Source organism: Homo sapiens, chromosome 1, assembly GCF_000001405.40.
Source record: "Homo sapiens chromosome 1, GRCh38.p14 Primary Assembly".
In the NCBI taxonomy this organism is placed as follows: domain Eukaryota; kingdom Metazoa; phylum Chordata; class Mammalia; order Primates; family Hominidae; genus Homo; species Homo sapiens.
Genome location: NC_000001.11, coordinates 151213364 through 151238801, shown reverse-complemented (window position 1 = coordinate 151238801; position 25438 = coordinate 151213364). Strand labels below are relative to the sequence as shown.

General features: G+C 44.2%; 1 protein-coding gene across 51 annotated transcripts in view, besides 1 other annotated feature; it reads right to left on the bottom strand.

Moving 5' to 3' along the window:
• PIP5K1A (phosphatidylinositol-4-phosphate 5-kinase type 1 alpha) overlaps positions 1-25438 on the bottom strand; it is a 54113-nt gene that overhangs the window by 10730 nt on the left and 17945 nt on the right. For 8 of the 51 annotated variants that reach the window (XM_024450130.2, XM_047431670.1, XM_011510046.4 and 5 more), the window contains 8 exons: positions 14523-14554; positions 11402-11482; positions 7001-7131; positions 6437-6554; positions 6099-6251; positions 4306-4605; positions 2039-2244; positions 537-620 (listed from right to left, as the gene is read on the bottom strand). In XM_024450130.2, the coding sequence (XP_024305898.1) occupies positions 537-620; positions 2039-2244; positions 4306-4605; positions 6099-6251; positions 6437-6554; positions 7001-7131; positions 11402-11482; positions 14523-14554 (1105 nt within the window). Of the gene's footprint in view, positions 1-536; positions 621-2038; positions 2245-4305; positions 4606-6098; positions 6252-6436; positions 6555-7000; positions 7132-11401; positions 11483-14395; positions 14432-14522; positions 14558-22801; positions 22841-25254; positions 25323-25438 lie in introns of all 51 variants that reach the window. The other 43 variants (XM_011510043.4, XM_047431658.1, XM_047431657.1 and 40 more) reach the window with 19 other exon arrangements.
• Positions 21882-22082: a silencer, noted in NCBI's record as "peak410 fragment used in MPRA reporter construct". NCBI's record gives its function as "represses an SCP1 promoter by STARR-seq MPRAs in K562 erythroleukemia cells {active_cell/tissue: K562}" and the evidence as "EXISTENCE:reporter gene assay evidence [ECO:0000049][PMID:32103011]".

Genomic DNA, 25438 nt, shown 5'->3' with positions numbered 1-25438 from the left:
GATGATAATACTGAACCAACAAATCAAGTACCGTCCAGTCCTCATTAGTATTTAAAACCTTACAGGAACAAAACTGGGGTCTAACAATTCCAGCTCCTCCCTGATGATCACTCCATTGCCTCTTAGTTCCACAGTCTAATACATTTTACAGAACACAGTGACCCTCCTGTTTTTCCTCCTTGGAAAAGGGTAACGTTTCCAGTTGTATCCCCATGTGGAACATGACTCATCTCATAGGTTTTTGCAAAGAGCCAGACAGATGGCATATTCTACCCTGGTGCTTCCAAGGACTGACTCAGCTTTCCACAGAAGGTATACATTATGTCTGGGGAGATGGGGGAGGAAGGGTTATAAAGGCCGGGGAAAGAGGCAAAATCAAGGAAATAAACCATCTGAAAACTAATGAAGTAAGTAGCCAGACTGCAACTCACTGTTCTTGCTTCCGGAAGAACTTGGTAACAAACCTATCTAAAAGAGAAACGTGACTGGTTATCTGTATCCACCCTCTCTTAATTTGGGATCCATATGCTCCTCACCTGTAAGACTGTAGAATGTCAATGATGCCAATATAAAGCAGAAGCCTTTCCCCTTTACTATTCCGGGCAGGGATGCCACCCATACTGGAAAAGGCAAAAAGGAAAGGGTGAGAAAATCTGTTGGCTAGTTTAGTCAGATCAGGATGGGGAAGTGAAACCTACACATAACTGCCTCATCCTCCATAAACCAGAAGGTCAGATAATAAGTGATCAAGAAAACAAAAAGAGAAAAAAATACATTAAAAAAACAGGAGAAAATGAGATCCTTCCTCTAACCCCAGGAACTCTCTACAGTATGTATTATAATCTAGTTTTCTCCAAATCTTCTTGCCTACCTCTTCCACTCTGATTCCACCAAAGAGAATCTAAAATTGCCACTACTCAGCAATTTTGGGAATGCTCTCCTAATTAACTCAACTTCTTCAGTACTTTTGCTATCTTAATTTATGCCCACTAAGACACTCTTCTTGAGAGTCATATTACAGGATACCTTAAAAAAATGAAACAATCTAAGATATTTGTGACACTTCAGTAATTACACTTACTAGGCATGATGAAGAAGGATGCCTTCCACAAAGAAGTCTATAACAATTTTTTTTTTTTTGACACAGGGTCCCATTCTTTTTGCCCAAGCTGGAGTGCAGTGGCATGTACAGTGGCTCACTGCAGCCTTGACCTCCTGGGCTCAAGCAATTCTGCCTCATCAGCCTCCTGAGTAGCTGGGACCACAGGTGCTCACCATCACACTCAGGTAATTTTTGAGTTTTTGTAGTGATGAGGTCTCATCATGATGCTCAGGCTGATCTCAAACTCCTGGACTCAAGTGATCCGCCTGCCTCAGCCTTCCAAAGTGTTGGGATTACTGGCATGAGCCACTGTGCCCAGCCCTAATAAAGTTCTAATATAATTTGCAGACATGCATTTAAGACTATAATTTTTTAAGTCTTTAACTCTTGAACAGCTCTCCTTCCCACATATACTATAAACCCGAAATTAATCTTCTTTTCATTTTGTATTAAGAAAGCTCGTTCAAGCTCATTCTATACTTCTGTCAACAATAATGTTACTGATCCAACTGCTGAGTCAAGGCTACTCCTTTCCAGAAGCTGGGTCCCTTCCTAAAGAAAAAGTGCTGTGGCCGGGCACGGTGGCTCACGCCTGTAATCCCTGCACTACGGGAGGCCAAGGCGGGTGGATCACCTGAGGTCAGGAGTTCGTAGACTAGTTTGCCCAACATGATGAAACCCCTTCTCTACTAAAAATACAAAAAATTAGCTGGGTGTGGTGGCAGGTGCCTGTAGTCACAGCTACTCAGGAGGCTGAAGCAGGAGAATCGCTTGAACCCAGGAGGTGGAGGTAGTAGTAGGCTGAGATCGTGCCATTGCACATCAGCACATCAGCCTGGGCAACAAGAGTGAAACTAAAAAAAAAAAAAAAAAAAAAAGAAAAGAAAAGTGCTGTGGGCCTATGTTCTCCCCCCTAGTGGCCCTGAGCCCACTTACTGGTCATCAGTCTCCATGGTACCACCCCGTCGAGCCTCTCCCTGGATGGATTCCATGGCTGTGGAATACAGAGCCTTTTGGGGGGCCGGTCTTCGAGTATCAACTGAGTACTGTGTTTCACTGCTTAAGGGCTCTCGTTGTGCATGATCTATATTATGGATTGACATCAAGAGGCTGTAATCCATTATCTTGAAGCTCTGCAGCACCTAATGGAAGGAAAAAAACATGATCTGAGCCTTGGAAGAAATAAAAATATTTTTCAGGATCTCACAATTTTTTTGTTTTTTTGAGAAAGGGTATCAATCTGTAACCCAGGCTAGAGTGCAGTGGTGTGATCTCGGCTCACTGTAGCTGCAACCTCCCAGGCTCAAAATATCCACCTACTTCAGCCTCCCAAGTAGCTGGGACTACAGGCACACACCACTACACCTGCCTAATTTTTTATTTTTCATAGAGACGGTTTCACCATGCTGCCCAGCTGGTCTCTAATTTCTGGGCTCAAGGGATCTGCCTATCTCAGTCTTCCAAAGTGCTGGGACTATTGGTATGAGCCACCACGCCTGGCTTGACAGCTTTCATGATGTAATTATTTAATTTAGCCTTACAGTGAACCTGTAAGGCTAAATTTTTTTTTTTTTTTTTTTGAGACGGAGTCTTGCTTTGTCGCCAGGCTGGAGTACAGTGGCGCGATCTTGGCTCACTGCAACCTCCAACTCCCTGGTTCAAGCGATTTTCCTGCCTCAGCCTCCCAAGTAGCTGGGATTACAGGCACGTGCCACCACACCCAGCTAATTTTTGTATTTTTAGTAGAGTTGGGGTTTCACCATGTTGGCCAGGCTGGTCTCGAACGCCTGACCTGGTGATCTGCCTGCCTCAGCCTCCCAAAGTGCTGGGATTACAGGCGTGAGCCACCACGCCCGGCCTGGTTAGTCTTTATTTACATACCCTTAGCTTTCTCTCATTTGAGTTAATATAATTTTTCCAAGTCCCACTGCCTAGCCCACAAGACCATCTTTGTTCTTTCCATGTATGTCTCCATGAAGAGAACACTACCTTCTCAAAAGAACAAGGAATACATATTTGTGCTGTGAAGATTCCACAATGAGGTTCTGGTAAAGTACACTTTGTGACAGAACAGATCTGTGGTAGGACCTTGTATGACTAGCTTCAATTCAGTTAAACATTTACTGAATCTCCACCATGTAGGCACTGTGCCTCCTTACAGAGATATAAAGATATTAAAGAGAGAGTTTCTGTCTTCAAGGACATTATACATTTAGAAAGGGATACAAATGTAAAATAAACACAATACAGTTTAATATGTGCAACAGTGGGAAGTGTTCACATGACAGAAGAGTACAGAGGTCAAGAGTGATATCTAGGCCGGGTGCGGTGGCTCACACCTGTAATCCTAGCACTTTGGGAGGCCAAGGCAGGCAGATCATTTGAGGTCAGGAGTTTGAAACCAGCGGGACCAACGTGGTGAAACCCTGTCACTACTAAAAATACAAAAACGACCCAGGCGTGGTGATGGGCGCCTGTAATCCCAGCTACTTGGGAGGCTGAGGCAGGAGAATCGCTTGAATCTGGGAGGTGGAAATTGCAGTGAGCCGAGATCGTGCCATTGCACTCCAGCCTGGGTGACAAGAGTGAAACTCCATCTCAAAAAATAAAAAATAAAGTAAAATGTAGATACATTTATCCATTGGTGACAGGGGCAGCATGAGAGGATGAAATAGGATAAAAAGTTAAGGTAGCTTGTTGAGAAACAAAGCTAGGGAGATGAGAGTCAGAAAATGGTTTGATTAGAATGCCAAACATCTGAAATCCCTATTGAGAGCAACAGCAAATGGACTGAAGATCGATATTGAAAGCCCAAGTGGGGTTGGATATCATAATTCTGTAGATGCCAGTATACACGGTTGTGTAATATTCTTCAGCAGCACTCAGCTTCCAAAATATAAATTTGGATTTGGCAGCCAGGACCAAAATCTGAGGAAGGATGATGTTGGTATGAAAATAAGCAGAACATTTGACTGTGAGGCCCAGGCTAGCTAGAGAAGGAAATAAATCCCATTGTGGGAGGATAAACGGGGAGAAAGTAAAAATGTAAAGGAATGGCAATGAACTAATTAAGACTTATTTTAAATACAGCCCAGGACATACAGTGCTAAGGAACAGAGTTCCATCTCCCACAAACTTAATGCCTAAGAACAATCAAGCTGTTTTAGTAACTGAGATTTTTGATGTCTAAGTAACAAACTCACCAAACAGTCACGCTGCAGGGTCTTACAGAGAGCGTTGTACATGTCAGCATCCAAAAAAAGACCATCAGGGATGTCTTGTAAGAAGTCTAGGTCTTTAAATGTGGGAAGAGGCTTCTCTCGCTCTTTCTGGGAAGCCCGCCGTTTGTAGGTTGAGCCTTTGAGGTCATATTTGATATGCATTTTTACCGATCTTGGTAAAAGATTGTTCATCACCACAATCCGAATGTTCTTGCCACCTGCCTGCACACAGTACAGTCCATAGAATTTAGGCAGCAAAGTCCGAGGGTTCTGGTTGAGGTTCTGAGAACACAAAAGGAAACAGAAGTAGGAGAACAACTTAGCTGATTTTCAGTGAAACTCACCAGTAAAAGTTACCACCCATCCTCCCTTTATCTCCTATATGAGATTTAGACACAATGTGTCCATAAACCTACATCATATATGCTTTACATTTCCCTATGCATCTATTTCAATGGTAAGTTCACCATCAAGCTGTGCCACAGACTCTCCAATACAGAAATCAGCCAGGATACCAATATAAGATGGATATATTTCTTCAGAGAGATTTAAGAGAAGACGACACTCTCTGCCCTGGGTATAGTATATTCTTGGGGATGGTAAGGCAGGTAAGGAGAGTTACCTAACTTCTCCAGAACCTCCAATAGCAATCAGAGTAAGGCTGCAGAGAGTATTACCAAGGGAAATAACCTACCTCATTCCCCAAACTAGAAGCTGAACTAAGAACAGAAGACGAAAATAGCCAGGTGCAGTGGCTCATGCCTGTAACCCCAGCACTTTGGGAGGCCAAACAGGAGGATCACTTGAGCTCAGGAATTTGAGACCAGCCTGGGTAACATAGCAAGACCTCATCTCTACTAAAAATTTATAAAAATTAGGCCGGGCACGGTGGCTCACGCCTGTAATCCCAGCACTTTGGGAGGCCAAGGCAGGCGGATCATGAGGTCAGGAGTTCAAGACCAGCCTGACCAACATGGTGAAACTCCATCTCTACTAAAAAATAAAAAATTAGCTTGGCATGGTGGCGCATGCCTGTAATCCCAGCTACTCAGGAGGCTGAGGCAGGAGAATTGCTTGAACCTGGGAGGCGGAGGTTGCAGTGAGCCGAGATTGTGCAACTGTACTCCAGCTTGGACAACAAAGCGAGACTCCGTCACGAAAAAATAAAAGAAAATAAGTTTATAAAAATTAGCCAGGTGTGGTGGTGCGTGCCTTTAGTCCCAACTACGTGAGAGGCTGAGGTGGGAGGATCACTTGAGCCTGGGAGATCAACAACACTTAAAACAGAACAGATAAACAAAACCCCTTTTACCATAGAGAGGCAAAAGAAATGGGGTGAAAAGCACAAAACTGAACAACATTTTTTTTTTTTTTTTTTTGAGACGGAGTCTTGCTCTGTTACCCAGGCTGGAGTGCAGTGGCAGGATCTCGGCTCACTGCAAACTTCGCCTCCCAGATTCACGCCATTCTCCTGTCTCAGCCTCCTGAGTAGCTGGGACTACAGGCGCCCGCTACCACGCCTGGCTAATTTTTTGTATTTTTAGTAAAGACGAGGTTTCACCATGTTGGCCAGGATGGTCTTGATCTCCTGATCTTGTGATCCTCTTGCCTCGGCCTCCCAAAGTCCTGGGATTACAGGCATGAGCCACCGTGCCTGGCCTGAACTACACTCTTAAGATAGAAGTGCTGACACTGTTTTACCCTGCTGAAGACAGCCTCCCCAGCCTTGCCCAGAAGTGAGCAGCACAGGTGGACAGTGCTTCTCTCTCCCTTACCATGTAGTATCCTGGAAGCAGCTTCTGCAGAAATTCCGCCTCTTTATGTTGGACTGTCTTAATAATGAACTCATCGTCGCTGGACACATAGAATAGGGAACCACTAGCTCCAGAGCTACAGAGTTCAATCAGCGGCTCACTGCAGAGGGAATACTGGGGCAAACAGAGAAGAACTAAGAGATTTAGACACATCAGGGCCTTGCCCAACACAAAAATCAACTACAGATGCAATTCTTTTCTAAATAAAAACCAGAGCGAGACTGTGGAGAAAAGGGGCCTTCCTTTGGGAATATCCCTCTGATACTGGAGTCACAGTGTCCTGATATCCAGATGCTTACCAAGTAATCATCGGGCCGGATACCAAATAGCTCCCGGAAGTAGCGGAAGGCAACAGGTGCATAGGTCTTGAAACGAAAGTCATTGTAGTGATGAGCAGGGGTCAGGTTGCTCCCTTCACTGTGGGGTTAAACAGAGGTAGCCATAACTTGCCAGTCCCTATCATCCAGAGAATCTACCTTGCGAAGACACTCAGAGTCACCTCATGGTGGGGGGAGTGGGGGAATACATTCCTCCTAAGATAATCACAGCCCTTCTTAGATGAGTTAGTGAGACAATGGCACAGCATGGACAGCAAGACATAAGAAGAAGAAGAAATCACACTGCCTCCTATCCAATGCATTAGGTTGTTTTTTACGGGTCAATCCATAGGACAGAGGCTAATGGAAGCATCTAGAGGACAGTATCTGCTCTCCGAACTCTCTAGTCCCACATCGCCCTGATTGTAACCAGGTTAAGAAATGGACACATGTCTAAATTGTCCGACCTGAACCCCTAAAACTGCCCTGGGCTGATTTGAAAAGGCCACATTTCCAGGACATGCTCCTGAACATTAAACTCTGTACCTGGGAAAGAAGATACTCTCAACCACGTAGAAATCTTGCATGAGGACATCACGCTCTGGTTTGGTACTCAGGCTCCCCACAGTGTGGGTAATGCCTAACTGGATGGCACCTTTCAAGGCTGATGAGGTTGTCTGAGAAACAAGAGAAATGAGAAGAAAATTCCTAGTATAAGTAGGATCATAACAATAAAAATTCAGAAAGGGGAAGCTAGAAGGAACACTTTAAAACAAACATCCTTTAGTCTGAGCAATAGTTCAGATAAAACTGGGACAATCCAGTTTCCCCATCCCTATGCTGTACTCTGCAATTAAGCTTAGTAAAGATTGGAAGGACAGTGAGGATACAGAGTAGCAAAGCTGGGACTCTCTGAGCCAGCCTCAGCTAGGCAAGGTGCTCCCTCCTGTTGGCCTGCCTAAACAAGAGTTCCATATTTGTATTTGGAAGATACATTGTATTGACACAACGTTCTTAGTTCTCACTCCTAAGGTTTCTGCCCCCAGAGTGTATCTGGAGCCCTCTAAACATTTCCTTCATCTGATATCGAATGTAACTAAAATTAACCAATATTCCTTTTTTTTTTTTTTTTTTTTGAGACTAAGTCTCACTCTGTCACCCAGGCTGGAATGGAGTACAGCAGCATGATCTCGGCTCACTGCAAACTTTGCCTCCCCGGTTCAAGCGATTCTCATGCCTCAGCCTCCCGAGTAGCTGAGATTACAGGCATGCACCACGACACCTTGCTTATTCTTTATATTTTTAGTACAGATGGGGTTTCACTATGTTGGTCAGGCTGGTCTCAAGCTCCTAACCTCAGAACTCCCAAAGCTCTGGGATTACGGGCATGAGCCACCATGCCCAGCCCTAAAATTAACCAATATTCTGATCTGACTGCCTGGCGGCAGAAACTTCAGTCCTCTAAGGAAGGGCCTGACTAGTGTGTCTCAAGGCCAACAGGGTGGGGTGGGCGCGGGCGGAGGCTCACGCCTCTAATCCAAGCACTTTGGGAGACTGAGGTGGGCAGACCACTTTAGGCCAAGAGTTCGAGACCAGCCTGGCCAATGTGGTGAAACCGTCTCTACTAAAAACACAAAAATTAGCTGGATGAGGTGGTGTGCACCTGTAGTCCCAGCTACTCAGAAGGCTGAGACAGGAGAATTGCTTGAAGCTGGGAGGCGGAGGCTGCAGTGAGCCAAGATCACACCACTGCATTCCAGCCTGGGTAACACAGCCAGACTGTCTCAAAAAAAAGGGCAACAGTGTGGTAAAAGAGCTCCTAACTGAAGAAGAAAGCATGAAAGACTCAAATTATTTCTGAGAGCAGTATTCAGACTTAGAATTATCAAACTTGGTCAAAACACAAATACAAGAGCCCCACTCTTACAATCCAGGATTCCAAGCCCGTGGGAAAGTATCGCATCATCTAGATCTTTGCTGTCTGATAACAGTAGCCACTAGGTACACATGGCTATTTAAATTTAAGTTAACTCAAATTTAAAACTTCATTTTCTCAGTCTTACTACTTACAGTTCAAGTGTGGCTACTAGCTACCATATTGGATAGCACAGATACAGCACATTTCAATCACTGCAGAAACTTTGATTAGATAGCTTTGCTCCATTTGCCTCATCCCCAACCTCGGCCAGGCATTACTTATATTTCTACTTGGTCCTCAATGGGCAATAAATTACAACTAGTTTTTTGTTTTTTTTTTCTTGAGACGGAGTCTCGCTCTGTCGCCCAGGCTGGAGTGCAGTGGCGTGATCTTGGCTCACTGCAAGCTCCGCCTCCCTGGTTGACACCATTCTCCTGCCTCAGCCTCCTGAGTAGCTGGGACTACAGGCGCAAGCCACCACACCCGACTAATTTTTTGTATTTTTTTTTTAGTAGAGATGGGGTTTCACCGTGTTAGCCAGGATGATCTCGATCTCCTGACCTCGTTATCCACCTGCCTCGGCCTCCCAAAGTGCTGGGATTACAGGCATGAGCCACCATGCCCAGCCTACAACTAGTTTTTTTCATGTACAAATAGGTCAAAGGAAAATAAATTATTAGTTTCTTTTTTTTTTTAAGTACCTGCCTCCCCAGTTATAATAGAAACTCATCTTTTTATCTTAATGTTCAACATATAAAAAGAGCTAAATGGCCGGGTGCTGTGGCTCATGCCTGTAATCCCAGCACTTTGGGAGGCCGAGACAGGCAGATTACCTGAGGTCAGGAGTTCAAGACCAGCCTGACCAACATGGAGAAACCCTATCTCTACTAAAAATACAAAATTATCCAGGCATGGTGGTGCATGCCTGTAATCCCAGCTACTTGGGAGACTGAGGCAGGAGAATCGCTTGAACCCGCAAGGCAGAGGTTTTGGTGAGTGGAGATCACGCCATTGCACTCCAGCCTGGGCAACAAGAGTAAAACTCCCTCAGGAAAAAAAAAAAAAAAAAGCTAAATAAGCCAGGTGTGGTGGCTGAGGCCTGTAGTCCCAGTTACTTTGGAGGCTGAGGTAGGAGGATGGCTTGAGCCCAGGAGTTCAAGGCTGCAGTGTGCCATCAACGCACCCACTGCATTCCAGTCTGGGCAACAGAGCAAGATCCTATTTCTTTCTTTCCTGTTTTTTTTTTTTTTTTTTTTTTTTTTGAGACGGGGTCTCGCTCTGTTGCCCAGGCTGGAGTGCAATGGCGCGACCTCGGCTCACTGCAACCTTCGCCTCCCAGGTTCAAGCTATTCTCATGTCTCAGCCTCCTGAGTAGCTGGGATTACAGATGCCCACCACCGCGCCCAGCTAATTTTTGTATTTTTAGTAGAGATGGGGCTTTGCCATGTTGGTCAGGTTGGTCTCCGACTCCTGACCTCAGGTGATCCACCCGCCTCAGCTTCCCAAATGCAAGATCCCATTTCTTAAAAAAAAAAAATTTAAAAATGAAGAGCTCAGTAAAAGTAATTGACATGAGCCACAGAGTCCATTCTGGGGACTGTCAGGTCCTTGACTGAGAATGAGTCAGTCCACCTCTGCTACTTGGGACAATGAAATAGAGAATGAACACAAAATTTACATAGGCCAGAAACCTAGAACTCCAAGAAATCTTCACATCCCATATTAGACAAACCACAGATGCTAAATGGGAGACTGAACACTGTCCCTCAGGAAGCCTAAACCATCTGAAAACCAGTCCAGAACTCAAGAATTTGGATCCCTCAAGGATCCAGGATGCTTCTGTTTTCCCTTCACCAGCCCAATTTCCACTTTTTCACTATTACTGCTCCTTTCCAGTCCATTTGATATTCAGAGCTCAAAAAAGCAGATGTCCTAGGTACTATTCGCCAGCTAAATGACTGTCTTTGTGGAGGAAAAGGGGGTGAGACACGGTCAATCACCCCTGTAACTCCAGCACTTTGGAAGGTTTAGGTAGGAGGAATGCTTGAGGGCAGGAGTTTGAGACCAGCCTGTGCGACACAGCGAGATCATGTCATAAAACTAATTTATTATTATCCATGTGTGGTGGTGTGCACCTGTAGTCCCAGCTACTCAGGAGGTTGAGGCAGGAAGATCACTTGAGCCCAGGAGTCGGAGGTTACAATAGCCTCCTGCTACCGGCCAATGATCATGCCACTGCAATCCAGCCTGGGTGACAGATTGACACCCTGGCTCTAAAAAAAAAATGGAAGAGAAAAAAAAGTCTGACCTATTGTGTATATTTGTATCAACAGGCTGGGCTGGGACCTGGCCCTCTATTGATATATACCCAGCAATGGACAAAAAGACAGAAAGACTGCGAGAGACATGGTTCCCTGTGGTAAGATAAGAATGGCTTTCATGGCCTTGTTACATATTTATACCTAACAGGGAAACCCAGTTTCTTCAGCTCAGTAAAATAGCAACCAATGCCAGATTTGTTCACTAATTTTTTTTTCTTTTGAGATGGAGTCTTGTTCTGTCACCAAGGCTAGTGCCACCAAGTGGCACAATTTGACCTCACTGCAACCTCCACCTCTCAGGTTCAAGCGATTCTCGTGCCTCAACATCCCGAGTAGCTGGGACCACAAGCGTGTGCCACCCAGCTAATTTTTGTATTTTTAGTAGAGACAGAGTTTCATCATGTTGGCCAGGTTGGTCTTGAACTCCTGGCCTAAAATGATCTGCCTGCCTCGGCTTCCCAAAGTGCTGGGATTACAGGCCTGGGGCACTGTGCCCAGCCAAAAAAAATCTCATTTAAACATTCATATACAAAAAGGAGACAATTTACCCTTTGAGAAATAAATCTAAAGTCTAAGCTGTATTATGTGCAAAAGCTTAGGAGATCAAGAAACAGGACAGTACATGGAGAGTAATTTCAAGGAGACTGAGTTCCCAGAGTAAGCTGCTGAGCTCCTGGAGTAAGATGAGACGGTTTCATCCAGACACACCTTTTTATATGTTGTCTCTCCTGAGGAATCAACACTTCTATGGCCTATTTTCTTGATGGGCATGCCAGAGGCATAAGGCACCTAGAAGAAGAGTCAAGATTATAATACAATTCCCATGTAAGACACCAAATAGCTACCACAATGGTACATCAAAACAAAATAAACTGAAACAACATATTCTTTCTAGATTAAAAACATTTTACAAAATCTTCAGATCTATCCCATGCAAATATACAGCTATAATGTTGGTTCCCAATGAATTAAGTGGCTAAAAGATCACAGAAGAAAACTCCAAGGGACACATATTTTCCCTTTGGTCCTCAGAAAGAAGACACAGAAAATAAAAGTGAGTATTTTTACTCTTTATTTTTTTGAAACAGAGTCTCGCTCTTGTTGCCCAGGCTGGAGTGCGGTGGCACAATCTCAGCTCACTGCAACCTCCACCTCCTCGGTTCAAGCAATTCTCTCGCCTCAGCCTCCCGAGCAGCTGGGATTATAGGTGCACACCACCACACCTGACTAATTTTTGTATTTTTAGTAGAGATGAGGTTTCACCATGTTGGCCAGGCTGATCTCAAATTGCTGACCTCAAGTGATCCACCTGCCTCAGCCTCCCAAAGTGCTGGGATTACAGGTGTGAGCCACCATGCCCGGCCAGAAAATAAGAGTACTTTTTTTTTTTTTTTTGAGACAGAGTTTCGCTTGTGTCGCCTGGGCTGGAGTGCAATGCCACGATCTCGGCTCACTGCAACCTCCACCTCCCGGGTTCAAGCGATTCTCCAGCCTCAGCCTCCCGAGTAGCTGAGATTACAGGAATGCACCACCACACCCAGCTAATTTTTTGTATTATTAGTAGAGATGGGGTTTCAACATGTTGACCAGGCTAGTCTCGAACTCCTGACCTCAGGTGATCCACTCGCCTTGGCCTCCCAAAGTGCTGGGATTATAGGTGTGAGGCACTGCACCCAACCAAAGGTGAGTATTTTTAAACAGTAGTAGAAACACAGCTCGGCGATGGCCGGGTGCGGTGGCTCACACCTGTAATACTAGCACTTTGGGAGGTGGAGGCAAGTGGATCACGAGGTCAGGAGTTCAAGACCAGCCTGGCCAAGATGTTGAAACCCTGTCTCTACTAAAAACACAAAAATTACCCAGGCGTGGTAGTAGGCACCTGTAATCCCAGCTACTCGGGAGGCTGAGGCAGAGAATTGCTTGAAACTGGGAGGTGGAGGTTGCAGTGAGCCGAGATCGCACCACTGCACTCCAGCCTGGGTGACAGAGCAAGACTCTGTCTCAAAAAAAAAAAAAAAGAAAAGAAACATAGCTGGGTGGTGTGGCATGCACCTGTAATCTCAGCTACTCAGAAGGCCAAGTGGGGAAGATCACTTGAGCCTAGGAGTTTGAGACCAGACTGGGCAACATGGCAAATCTCCATCTCCAACTAAAAATACAAAAAATTTGCCTGGCGTGGTGGCGTGCATCTCTAATCCCAGCTACTCAGGAGGCTGAGGCGGGAGAATCACTTGAATCCAGGAGGCAGAGGTTGCAGTGAGCCAAGATCATGCCACTGCACTCCAGCCTGGGCGACAGAGCGTGACTCTGTCTCAAAAAAAAAAAGAAAAAAGAAAAGAGGCCAGGCGCAGTGGCTCACACCTGTAATCCCAGCACATTGGGAGGCCAAGGCGGGTGGATCACCTGAGGTCAGGAGTTCAAAACCAGTCTGGTCAACAGGGTGAAACCCTGCCTCTACTAAAAATACAAAAATTAGGCGGGCATGGTGGCGTGCACCTGTAATCCCAGCTGCTTGGGAGGCTGAGGCAGGAGAACTGCCTGAACCTGGGAGGCAGAGGACATAGTGAGCCAAGATCGAGCCACTGTACTCCATACTGGGCAACAGAGCAAGACTTCATCTCAAAAAAAAAAAAGGCAAGAAGGGAGGAGTAAACCAGTATAGCAGTCTAGAAAGTTATCCCCAAGAGCCAAAATGCCAGAGCAACAGACATGAAGTTACTCTTCATAACATCAATACTCATTAAGTTTATAAGCCAGAAGGCTGAGAGACTAGTGGAAACAGGGTATCACAGTTTTTTTTTGAGACAGGGTGTCTCTGTCACCCAGGCTAGAGGGCAGTGGTGTGATAATGGCTCACTGCAGCCTCAACCTCCTGGGCTCAAGCAATCCCGAGTAGCTGGGACTATGGTGTGCACCTGGCTAATGTTTTATTTTTTTGTAGAACCAGGGTCTCACTATGTTGCACAGGCCTGTCTCGATCTCCTGGCCTCAAGCAATCCTCTCACCTTGGCCTCCCAAAGTGTTAGGATTACAAGCATGAGCAACCGTGACTGGCTGGATGTCCCAATCTTAAGACCTGATATTCAAGTTCTATTCTTTTAGCCAAGGCCCTTAGTACCAGAAAACTCTCAGTATATCACCTGACAGATGCTGGAAGATGTTCTGAGAGAAAGTTTGAAGTCCCAGGTCAAAAGGGCCTGCATTCTGAGGCCCCTTTCACAAAACCCAGGGGAGAGGCAAGAAGTGAGAAGAGGGTTAGGAAATACACCATGGGAAGAAAGTTGAGCAAAATGGCGATATTCTGGACAAAAAAGAGAAACTTGTGAAACTAACAGCTTCTGCATGGCTAAAAGTTCTTCATATTCATCGAAGGTATGCAATCAGGAGGCCATAACAGCAAAACAAAGAAAGTGAGCTTTAGTGTCAGACTGCCTGGGTTTGAATTTGAATCCCAGCTTTACTAATCCCACTTAGTAACTATGCAATCCTCACTTTCTTCATCTGTAAAACAGATAACAGTATTTGCCTCACTGTAGTTGTTTGAAGGATTAAATAAGAATATCTTAAAGGGCACTTAGGTACAGTATTTACTTTTTGGTATATATTGCATTTGGTACATTAAAAATGCTCAATAAATGTGAGATATTGTTAATATTTAAAATAAACTACAATAAAAGATGAGTTGCATAATTTCTAGCCTACCAATGAGATGTAAGAATCCTGTCTAGCTTCCAAGACCTAAGTAGAGAAAAAATAAAAATGTCATAAACAGGTTCCTTCTATCCCAGAATTAAGGTTTTAGTAACCATTGTATCAGTATGAAACTCACCTCAGATGCCATGGGTCTCTTGATTCCAGATGCTGCTAGGGGGGAAAAAAAAACAATCATAAGAGTGTATCACACACTCACATCTCTGTCAAGCATACTGAAACCATCAGAGTTTGAGTCAAACTAAACATAAGTATAAACTCCTGCCTCTTGCTCAGTAATACCAGATCCTTTTGGATAGCAACTGTGTATGTCCCTCTCTCCTTCTCCATACTCACATAGGCCTCGTGCATATTCCATTTTTATTCTAGACCCCTTTCTTATTCAAATATCCATATTTTCTCTGGGAAATATAACTTTTTCTTTTTTTTTGAGATGGAGTCTCACTCTATCGCCCAGGCTGGAGTGCAGTGGCATGACCTCAGCTCACTGCAAGTGATTCTCCTGCTCAGCCTCCTGAGTAGCAGGGATTACAGGCGCCTCCTACCACATTCAGCTAATTTTTGTGTTTTTAGTGGAGGCGGGATTTCACCATGATGGCTGGGCTGGTCTTGAACTCCTGACCTCAAATGATCCATCCACCTCAAGCCTCCCAAAGTGCTAGGATTACAAGCAAGAGCCACCGCACCTGTCCCTTTTTTTTTAATTTTTATTTTTTAGATGGAGTCTCGCTCTGTCGCTTTTTTTTTTTTTTTGAGACAGAGTCTCGCTCTGTTGCCCAGGTTGGAGTGCAATGGCACGATCTCGGCTCACTGCAACCTCCACCTCCTGGGTTCAAGCAATTCTCCTGCCTCAGCCTCCCGAGTAGCTGGGATTACAGGTGTGTGCCATCACGCCTGGCTAATTTTTTGTATTTTTAGTAGAGACAGGGTTTCACCGTGTTAGCCAGGATGGTCTCAATCTCCTGACCTCATGATCCGCCTGCCTCGGCCTCCCAAAGTGCTGGGATTACAGGCGTGAGCCACCACACCCGGCCTTTTTTTTTTTTTTTGAGACGGAGTTTTGCTGGTCACCGAGGCTGGAGTGCAACAGCGCCATCTTGGCTCCCTGCAACGTCCTTCTCCCAGTTCAAGAGATTCTCCTGCCTCAACCTCCCGAGTAGCTGGGATTACAGGTGCCCGCCACCATGCCTGGCTGATTTTTGTATTTTTAGCAGAGATGGGGTTTCATCATGTCGGCCAGGGTGGTCTTGAATTCCTGACCTCAGGTGATCCACCCACCGCGGCCTCCCAAAGTGCTGGGATCACAGGGGTGAGCCACTGCGCCTGGCTAATTTTTGTATTTTTTTTAGAAGAGAGAGGGTTTCACCATCTTGGCTGGGCTGGTCTTAACTCCTGACCTCGTGATCCACCTGCCTTGGCCTCCCAAAGTGATGGGATTACAGGCATGAGCCACCATGCCTGGCCATTACGTGTGACGCAAGAGCAAAGTTAGGCTCACAGCAAGGTTTAATTTTCAATTTACCTAGACCTTCATGAAATTCAAATTACCATCTCAAAGAACACGGTTCCTGTCAAAACCCTCAGCTGCCCCATCCCCCAACATACCCACATGCTTGTGCAACACTAGCAACTATGGAATCTGATTCTCAATGAGGTACTCTGTATGCTTTCAGTTGAAAATAAAAATGCTGATTCTAGACTCTTTGGTCAGTGCCTGGCCTATCCTCTCCTCTTTTACCCAGAGGAAACGGTTTAGAAGAGACCAGGCAGAACCAAAAGCCAGCATCTGCTTCTAGTCTGGTAGTTACCACCTAGAAAGTAAGCTCCTCTGTATGCAAAAAGTCACTGAATAAAGTTAAACAAGAGAAAAAAAGCAGGTAAGTAATTTCAATGCAGAGTGGCTCTGAAACTTTCTACTCCCTAAAAAGTTCTACCTTGCTACCTTTCCTAGTTTTATCACACAAACATGTAGCTCTAGGGCTGCTACACTCTTGCAAAATACCTAGAATAAAGATGAGACGATGTCGCTCCATGGAATTTTGGTGCCAACTGCTTAGCTATCTGTGACTGCAAAACTGGGACTAATTCCAAGAGCACGCAGGGTGATGATGCTATTAGGGTCTAAGTAATAACACTCAGACCAAGTGACAAAGAGAGGAGCAGAATCAGGACACAAAACCTTCTCTCTTCCTTGCCTAAAGTTTTGCCCCTATGGCACACATCAGAGATCCAACCTACCAATGAACAGAAGAGAAAAATATCGTATCTATATCAAAAAAAGGAAAAAATATATGTAATTTTTTTTCCCTTTGAGACATGGTCTCACAATGTCACCCTGGCTGGAGTGCAGTGGTGCAATCTCTGCTCACTGCAGCCCCTTCCTCCCAGGCTCAAATGATGCTCCCACCTCAGCCACCTGAGTAGTTGGGACTACAGGTGTGTACCACCATGCCCAGCTGATTTTGCTTTTTTTGCTATTATTCTTTTTTGTAGATATGAGGTCTCACTATGTTGCCCAGGCTGGTCTCAAACTCCTGGATTCAAGTGATCCTCCCACCTCAGCCTCCTGAGTCACTGGGACTATCAGACTGCACCACTGCACCTGGCTGTTAGCCAGACAATTTTTAAAGAGAATGAGATTCATCCCTATGGATAAAACCAGAATACTGTTCAACAGAAAATGTTTTCTAGTGTCTTTGTGAAAAATACTGTAGGAATACATTATCGTTTTGTAATCCATACCCATGATTTATATATATCATTATCTTTTTGGGCAGGGAAACAACATTAAAATGTACTCTTCCCTAGAAGAAAATATTTTGTCTGAGAATCTTGAGACCTGCATTTCCCAATCTAAGGCAAAACTCTCAAAGGGCATTATTCCAATGTCTTCATTATCATCAGTCTACACTTGGAAGTGTGGCACGTACTATAAGAGAGGAGAACCTATTACCCAAGGGTGGGTATATAGGTTAATTGCTTGGCTATAAATGCTACAGAGAAGGTCCTAGGCCAGCTTCTCCACACTGGCTCAATTTTAATACATCTCAGCCTTAGTTTAATGCCAAATTATTCCTGCTTTTTTCTCCATCACTCAGGCATCTCTACATTCTCTCATTTCTCTTTAATGTTATTAACACTAAACTGCAATGCTGATATATTTTTAGAAAGGTTATTTCTCTCCTATGACCAAACAACTTATGTTTGTATAAACACTTTGGAAGCCTACAAATATATCTCATTTGGCCCTCAAAAAATACTACAGGGTTTGGAAACTATTTTAATTAAGGATTTAAGAGAGAAATAACCAAATGGAATATGTGAAACCTGTTTGGGTGTTGATTAGAAAAAAAGAAACCATAAAAAGACATTTCTGAGAAAAGAGCCTTGAGAAGCAAAGTTAAACAATTATTAATTTTATAGATGTGACAATACCACTGTAGTTATATTATACTCTCCCATCCTCACCTCTAAAAGATTCCCTGAGTGTATTAATACGTTCTTAAGTATTTAGGAGTGAAATCCCATGAGGACTGGGCTTGCTTTAAAATATTCCAGGGAGGTAGAGGTAGAAAAATGGAGAAGTATAGATGCAAGATTGGCAAAATGCTGTTATCAAAGCTAGGTGATAGGCCAGGTAAAGTGGCTCACGCCTGTAATCCCAGCACTTTGGAAGGCCAAGGCAGGTGGATCACGTGAGGTCAGGAGTTCGAGACCAGCCTTGCCAACATGGCGAAACCCCATCTCTACTAAAAACACAAAAATTAGCTGGGCAAGGTGGTGGGCGCCTGTAATCCCAAATACTTGGAGGCTGAGGCAGGAGAATCGGTTGAACCCGGGGAGCAGAGGTTGCAGTAAGCTGAGATCGCACCATCGCACTCCTGCCTGGGCGAAAGAGTGAAATCCTGTCTTAAAAAAAAAAAAGCTAGGTGGTAAGTATATGGAGGTTCATTATACTATTCTCTCTACTTCACATGCATCTGAGGAATTTTATAATGTAAGTAAAGGAAAAAAATACCACAGAAGAAAATAAAGCAAGTCTGGATAATCAAAATTCTTGATCTGAGTTGGCTTTTTTAAAATAGAGACAGGCAAGCCGGGTGCGGTGGCTCATGCCTGTAATCCCAGCACTTGGGGAGGCCAAGGTGGGCATATCACAGGGTCAGGAGATCGAGATCATCCTGGCTAGCAAGGTGAAACCCCGTCTCTACTAAAAATACAAAAAAGTAGCCAAGCATGATGACACCACCTGTAATCCCAGCTACTCGGGAGACTGAGGCAGGAGAATCTCTTGAACCTGGGAGACAGAGATTGCAGTGAGCTGAGATCGCGCCACTGCACTCCAGCCTGGGCAACAGAGCAACACTCTGTCTCAAAAATAAATAAATAAATAGAAACAGAGACAGGCATTGAGCACAGTGGCTCACATCTATAATCCCAGTACTTTGGGAGGCCAAGATGGGAAGATTAATTGAGCCCAGGAGTTCGAGACCAGCTCGAGCAACATAGGGAGACCCCATCTCGGCAAAAAAAAAAAAAAAAAAAAGGAAAGAATATGTAAGGACAGGGTTTAGCCATGTTCCCCAAGCTGGTCTTGAATGCCTGGGCTCAAGCGATCCTTCCACCTCAGCCTCCCAAAGTACGGGGATTAGAAGCATGAGCCACCGCACAAGGCCTACTTTCCAGTTTTGTTTCTTTTTTTTTAGATGGAGTTTCACTCTTGTCGCCCAGACTGGAGGGCAATGGTACAATCTCGGATCACCGCAACCTCCACCTCCCGGGTTCAAGAGATTCTCCTGCCTCAGCCTCCCGAGTAGCTGGGATTACAGGCACGCACCACAACACCCAGCTAATTTTTTTTTTTTAAATTTTTTGTAGAGATGGGGTTTCACCATGTTGGTCAGGCTGGTCTCGAACTCCTGACTGCAGATGACCCGCCCGCCTCAGCCTCCCAAAGTGCTGGGATTATAGGCATGAGCCACCGGGCCAGCCCTCTTCTTTTTTTTTTTTTTTTTTGAGACGAGAGTCTTGCTCTGTTGCCCAGGCTGGAGTGCAGTGGCACGATGTCGGCTCACTGCAACCTCTGCCTCCTGGGCTCAACTGATTCTCCTGTCTCAGCCTCCCGAGTAGCCAGGATTACGGGTGTGCACCACCACACCTGGCTAATTTTTGTATTTTTAGTACAGACAGGGTTTCGCCATGTTGGCCAGCCTGGTCTGGAACTCCTGACCTCAAGTGATCTGCCCACCTCATCCTTCCAAAGTGCTGGGATTATAGGCGTGAGCCATTGTGCCCAGCCTACTTTCCAATTTTCAAGCTAAAACCACTTATTACAAATCAATAAACCACTTATATTAGAACAAAATCATTCAGAAAGAGATTTTTAGTCTAATTTTTAGTCTAATCCCTTTTATTATAAGAACACAGAAGAAGAGGTTAAGGAATGGGCTCAAAATCAAAGCATAGGCAGTGACAGGCAAAACTAGAGCCCACATTCAATTCATGATCCCTAATTCAATACTTTCTTCTGAATAATCTCTGGCCTTTTTTTTTTTTTTTTTTTTTTGAGACAGAGTCTCACTCTGTTGCCAGGCTGGAGTGCAGTAGTGTGATCTCAGCTCACTGCAACCTCCATCTCCCAGGTTCAAGCGATTCTCCTGCCTCAGCCTTCAAGCAGCTGGGACTACAGGTGCACGCCACCACACCCAGCTAATTTTTGTATTTTCAGTCAAGACGGGGTTTCACCATGTTGGCCAGGATGGTCTCGATCTCTTGATCTTGTGATCCACTGCCTTGGCCTCCCAAAGTGCTGGGATTACAGGCGTGAGCCACTGAGCCCGGCCTCATCTTTGGTTTTTAATTTCCTGGCCACCTAGAAAGCAGCTGGAACAAGAAAGCACCAATGGAACTAGAATGCTCTAACAAACTAAATAAATCTCAGATTTGCTAATGGACAATATGAAGACATATATTCTTCCCTCAAGGTACCCCCTTTTTCCTTGAGACAAGGAAATGTTTCATTTTCACTGATAGGATTAAGAGTACAGTTGTCCTCCTTCAGGTCCTCTCAAGGAAATTAACAACACTGTTCCTCTAGCAACATTCATCAACATCATTTGCAAAAAGAATATGAAAGTACCTTTCTTTTAGGGAGATTACCTTTGTTCTGAATTAGGCAATGCCAGTATTCTAGAGGAGCAGAAACTTTCAAGTCTGATACTTGAAAGCGCAGTTTCACAGTTTTACAGACGTTAAGGTCCTCACTAGCATAGAAAATACCTTTTTGTCTTTGTAACAAGACATTAACAATTTTAACACTGCCAGGCACAGTGGCTCACGCCTGCAATCCCACCACTTGGGGGAGGCCAAGGTGGGCAGTGGATCACCTGAGGCCAGGAATTCAAGACCAGCCTGGCCAACATGGTGAAACCTCATCTCTATAAATACAAAAATTAGCCGGACATGGTGGCATGTGCCTGTAATCCAGCTACTTGCGAGTCTGAGGCAGGAGAATCGCTTGAACCCAGGAGGTGGAGGTTGCAGTGAGCTAAGATCGTAACACTGCACTCCAGCCTGGGCAACAGAGCAAGACTCCATCTCAAAAATAAAAAATTTAAAAAAAAAATGAAAAGAAAAAGAGAAAGAAAAAACAATTAGCCAGACATGGTGGTGTCTGTAGTCCCAGCTACTTGTGAGGCTGAGGTGGGAAGATGGCCTGGGCCTGGGAGGTCAGTGCTGCAGTGAGCTATGATCATGCCACTGCACTCCAGCTTGGGTGACAGAACAAGACCCTGTCTCAAAATACATAAATAAATTAATACATTAATAAAATTAAAATGCTTCTGAAAAAATGAACAATTCCACCTACTGTACATAAAGGAGCTCAGAATTTTGTTGATTTAGGAAGGCTAAAGTCAGAAGGAGAAGTTTCCTTCTGTACTACTCTCTCCTTCACCCCAAGGACTCTTGGTTCAGACAGTAACAAACATTTAACCCGGTTTTAAGTAAAGTTAGTTCACACACAGAATTTCAAATTAGTGAGGGGAGCAGCAGCAGTGGGTAGGAATGCAGGTTCTGAAATCAGAACACCTGAAAATCTATATCCCAGGGAAAACAAAACCAAAAACAGAAAAAGAAATCAGAACACCTAGGTTTGCTAGGTTTGAATACTAGATTTAACATTTACAGCTAGGCACAATGGCTCAAGCCTGTAATCCCAGCACTTTGGGAGGCCTAGTGGGTGGGTCACTTGAGGCCAAGAGTTCAAGACCAGCCTGGCCAACGTGGAAAAACCCTGTCTCTACTAAAAATACAAAAATTAGCTGGGTGTAGTGGCACGCACCTGTAGTCACAGCTACTCTGGAGGCTAAGGCACGAGAATTGCTTGAACCCAGGAGGCAGAGGTTGCAGTAAGCTGAGATCACAGCACTGCACTCTAGCCTGGGCGACAGAGCGAGACTCCGTCTCAAAAAAAAAAAAAAAAAAAAAAAAAAAAAACATTTACTAAGTAGGTAACCTTGGGTAGGTTGGTTAAAATTTCTCTAGAGCAGACTGGCTACCTTATCTATAAAATGTGGAAGTAACAACATGTACTTCCTAAGGTTGTTATGAGAATTCAACAAGTTACGTATAGGCTTAATCTATAATAAATGCTCTACTTAATCTACAATAAATGCCTATAAATTCTAGCAATTATTATCAATGTGAATTATGAAATGCCATCTACAGGACAGGAAGGGTCGGGGAAATGAGAGGTACAACAGAAAGAGAAAAGGAAAAGAGTTGAGACTGGTTTACTGAAACAAAAGGAAATGAACATTAAGTTACAGGAAAATTTCAAGGGAGAGAAAAGGTAGTCACTGATTCATAATATACTGAAGAATTCTGAGAAAAGATACTTCTATGTTAGGGTAACACATTTTTTGGAGAGGGCAGTGAGATATGGGAGCCAGCGTCAAATAATGCTTTTAAGGCATCCACAGCCTTCTTAGAAGAAGACCATGAACTACCACTCCAAGAAGTCTGCAACTGTTTTTTTTTTTTTTTTTTGAGACGGAGTCTTGCTCTGTTGCCCAGGCTGGAGTGCAGTGGCACGATCTCGGCTCACTGCAAGCTCTGCCTCCCGGGTTCACGCCATTCTCCTGTCTCAGCCTCCCGAGTAGCTGGGACTACAGGCACCCGCCACCATGCCCAGCTAATTTTTTTGTATTTTTAGTAGAGACGGGGTTTCACTGTGTTAGCCAGGATGGTCTCGATCTCCTGACCTCGTGATCCGCCCGCCTCGGCCTCCCAAGGTGCTGGGATTAGAAGTCTGCAACTGTTATGGGGAAGAGGAATTGGCTGCTAGTTACTGTAAGGAGCTCATGCTTCTTTAGCACAGATACACATCAGATCTACCTCTCTTACCACTGACCCCACAGCACAGAAAGTTGAAACCTAATGAGGAAAAACAGAAAGTTACCCCTTACTCCTGGGGTCCCATTTGCTTACAGCATGATAAGCATACATGTTTTTAAAACTCTAAAGTTTAAAATTATGAACTGGACCTGGTCAGATTCCTAGCACCATACTGTGAAATGTGGAATGATTTTTTTGTAATTCTAGGTAAATGTTCAAAAAATGGCAGAAGGAGAAGCCTCTGACACAAAAATTCTCGGAGCAGTCACAAAACTTGTACTTCAAGTCATTTCACTCTGGAGTGAATTCAGACAGCAAAACATTTCAGGTATAAGGTTCCTCTGCAGCCAGACTTTTTTATCTTTTAAAAAAGAATGCCGGGCGCAGAGGCTCAAACTTGTAATCCCAGCACTTTGGGAGGCGTGATCACCTGAGGTCAAGAGTTCACAAGACCAGCCTCCTGGCCAACATGGTGAAAACCCGTCTCTACTAAAAATACAAAAATTAGCCGGCGCAGTGGCAGGCACCTGTAATCCCAGCTTCTCAGGAGGCTGAGGCAGGAGAATCGCTTGAACCCAGGAGGCAGAGCTGGAAGTGAGCCAAGATTGCCTTTGCACTCCAGGCTGGATGACACAATGAGACTCCTTTTCAAAAAAAAAAAAAGGCCGGGTGCGGTGGCTCACGCCTGTAATCCCAACACTTTGGGAGGCCAAGGCGGGAGGATCACCTGAGGTCGAGAGCTCGAGACCAACATGACCAACATGGAGAAACCCCGTCTTTACTAAAAATACAAAAAAAACCAATTAGCATGGCATGGTGGCACCTGCCTGTAATCCCAGCTACTCGGGAGGCTGAGGCAGGAGAATCGCTTGAACCCGGGAGGCGGAGGATACAGTGAGCTGAGATCGCGCCATTGCACTCCAGCCTGGGCAACGAGAGCAAAACTCCATCTCAAAAAAAAAAAAAAAAAAAAAGAATGCACAGGCTGGGCATGGTGGCTCATGCCTGTAATCCCAGCACTTTGGGAGGCTAAATCAGGTGGATCACTTGAGGCCAGGAGTTCGAGACCAGCCTGGGCAACATGGTGAAAACTGGTCTCCACTAAAAATACAAAAATTTAGCCAGGTGTGGTGGCGCAAGCCTGTAGTCCCAGCTACTCAGAAGGCTGAGGTGGGAGGATGACCTGAGCCCAAGAGGCAGAGGTTGCAGTGAGCCAAGATCACACCATTGCGCTCCAACCTGGGCGACAGTCACAAGGTAGATTTTGTTTGAGGCTCTTCCGCTCCTTGAGGGCAATTTGGTACTAACTTGCAAAAAGCCGGCCAGGTGCTGTGGCTCACGCCTGTAATCCCAGCCCTTTGGGAGGCTGAGGCAAGCGGATCACTTGAGGTCAGGAGTTCGAGACCAGCCTGACCAACATGGCAAAACCCCATCTCTACTAAAAACACAAAAATTAGCTGGACATGGTGGCGATCACCTGTAATCCCAGCTACTAGGGATGCTGAGGCACGAGAATCGCTTGATAATGGGTGGCAGAGGCAGCAGTGAGCCGAGATGGGGTCACTGAAATCCAGCCTGGGCAACAGAGCGAAACTCTATCTCAAAACAAAAACAAAAACAAAAACAAAAACAAAAAAACAGAAAAAAACAAAGCAAAAAGCCTTAAAAATCATTATGTACAATCTGACCAAGAAGTACTAAGTTATCTTAGTGAAGCAAACAAAGATGTATATACAAGGTTATACATTACAAGGATATACAAGGATTACAGCAGTGTATATATAACTATAATTGCATAGATCCCATTATTGGAAAGAATCTAAGTGAACAATAGGGAACTGATAATATACATCATGGCGCAGTCATAAAATCAAACACTATATAACCATTATTTTTATGTATATTTATGGATGTCAATATATTGAGTGGAAAAAGGTCAAAAAATTATATAATACAATTTTTTATAAAAACTTTATCTATAAATTCACATGAACTTATACACATAGAAAAGGTGCACAAGATTATATACCAAAATGTTAAAAGATGACCATTTCCTGATAGTGGGAGTAGGCTTATTTTGTAACTTTAAATTTCTATTTTTCCTTACCTATATAAACTATACAAATATTTTAATGTGTATGTTACATAATTTAACAATTAAAGGAATGGCTTTACTGTCATTTTCTTTGCTTAATAACCCATTTTTCCCAGTAAACCACTACTCAACAGTCCCACACATACAAACCACCACACTCCCCACACACACATTAACTCAAGCTCATTACAACCACGTTATGCTATTGCAAAGATAAGGAACAAGAAAAAATATGAAAAGAAAATGCCAGAAATGCTGCTGATGATCCTAAGCTAAAAATAAGTATAAGTCTTACGTTCTCATACCCTCTTTCTCAACTACATATTACTTTCAGATGACTATAAAACCTGAAACATACCTGTATCAGCACATATAAGAGATTCTCTCTTAAAAAGGGAACCATACCCCTCAGAAATCAACACTCTCCTATAAAACAGGGATACCCAATTTCAGCATAATTCCTGGATGCCAAGACTTCAAAAATATTAAAGAACTAGCTTCTAAATTATGAAAATAAGCTAGGAAATCATTAATGTTACTAA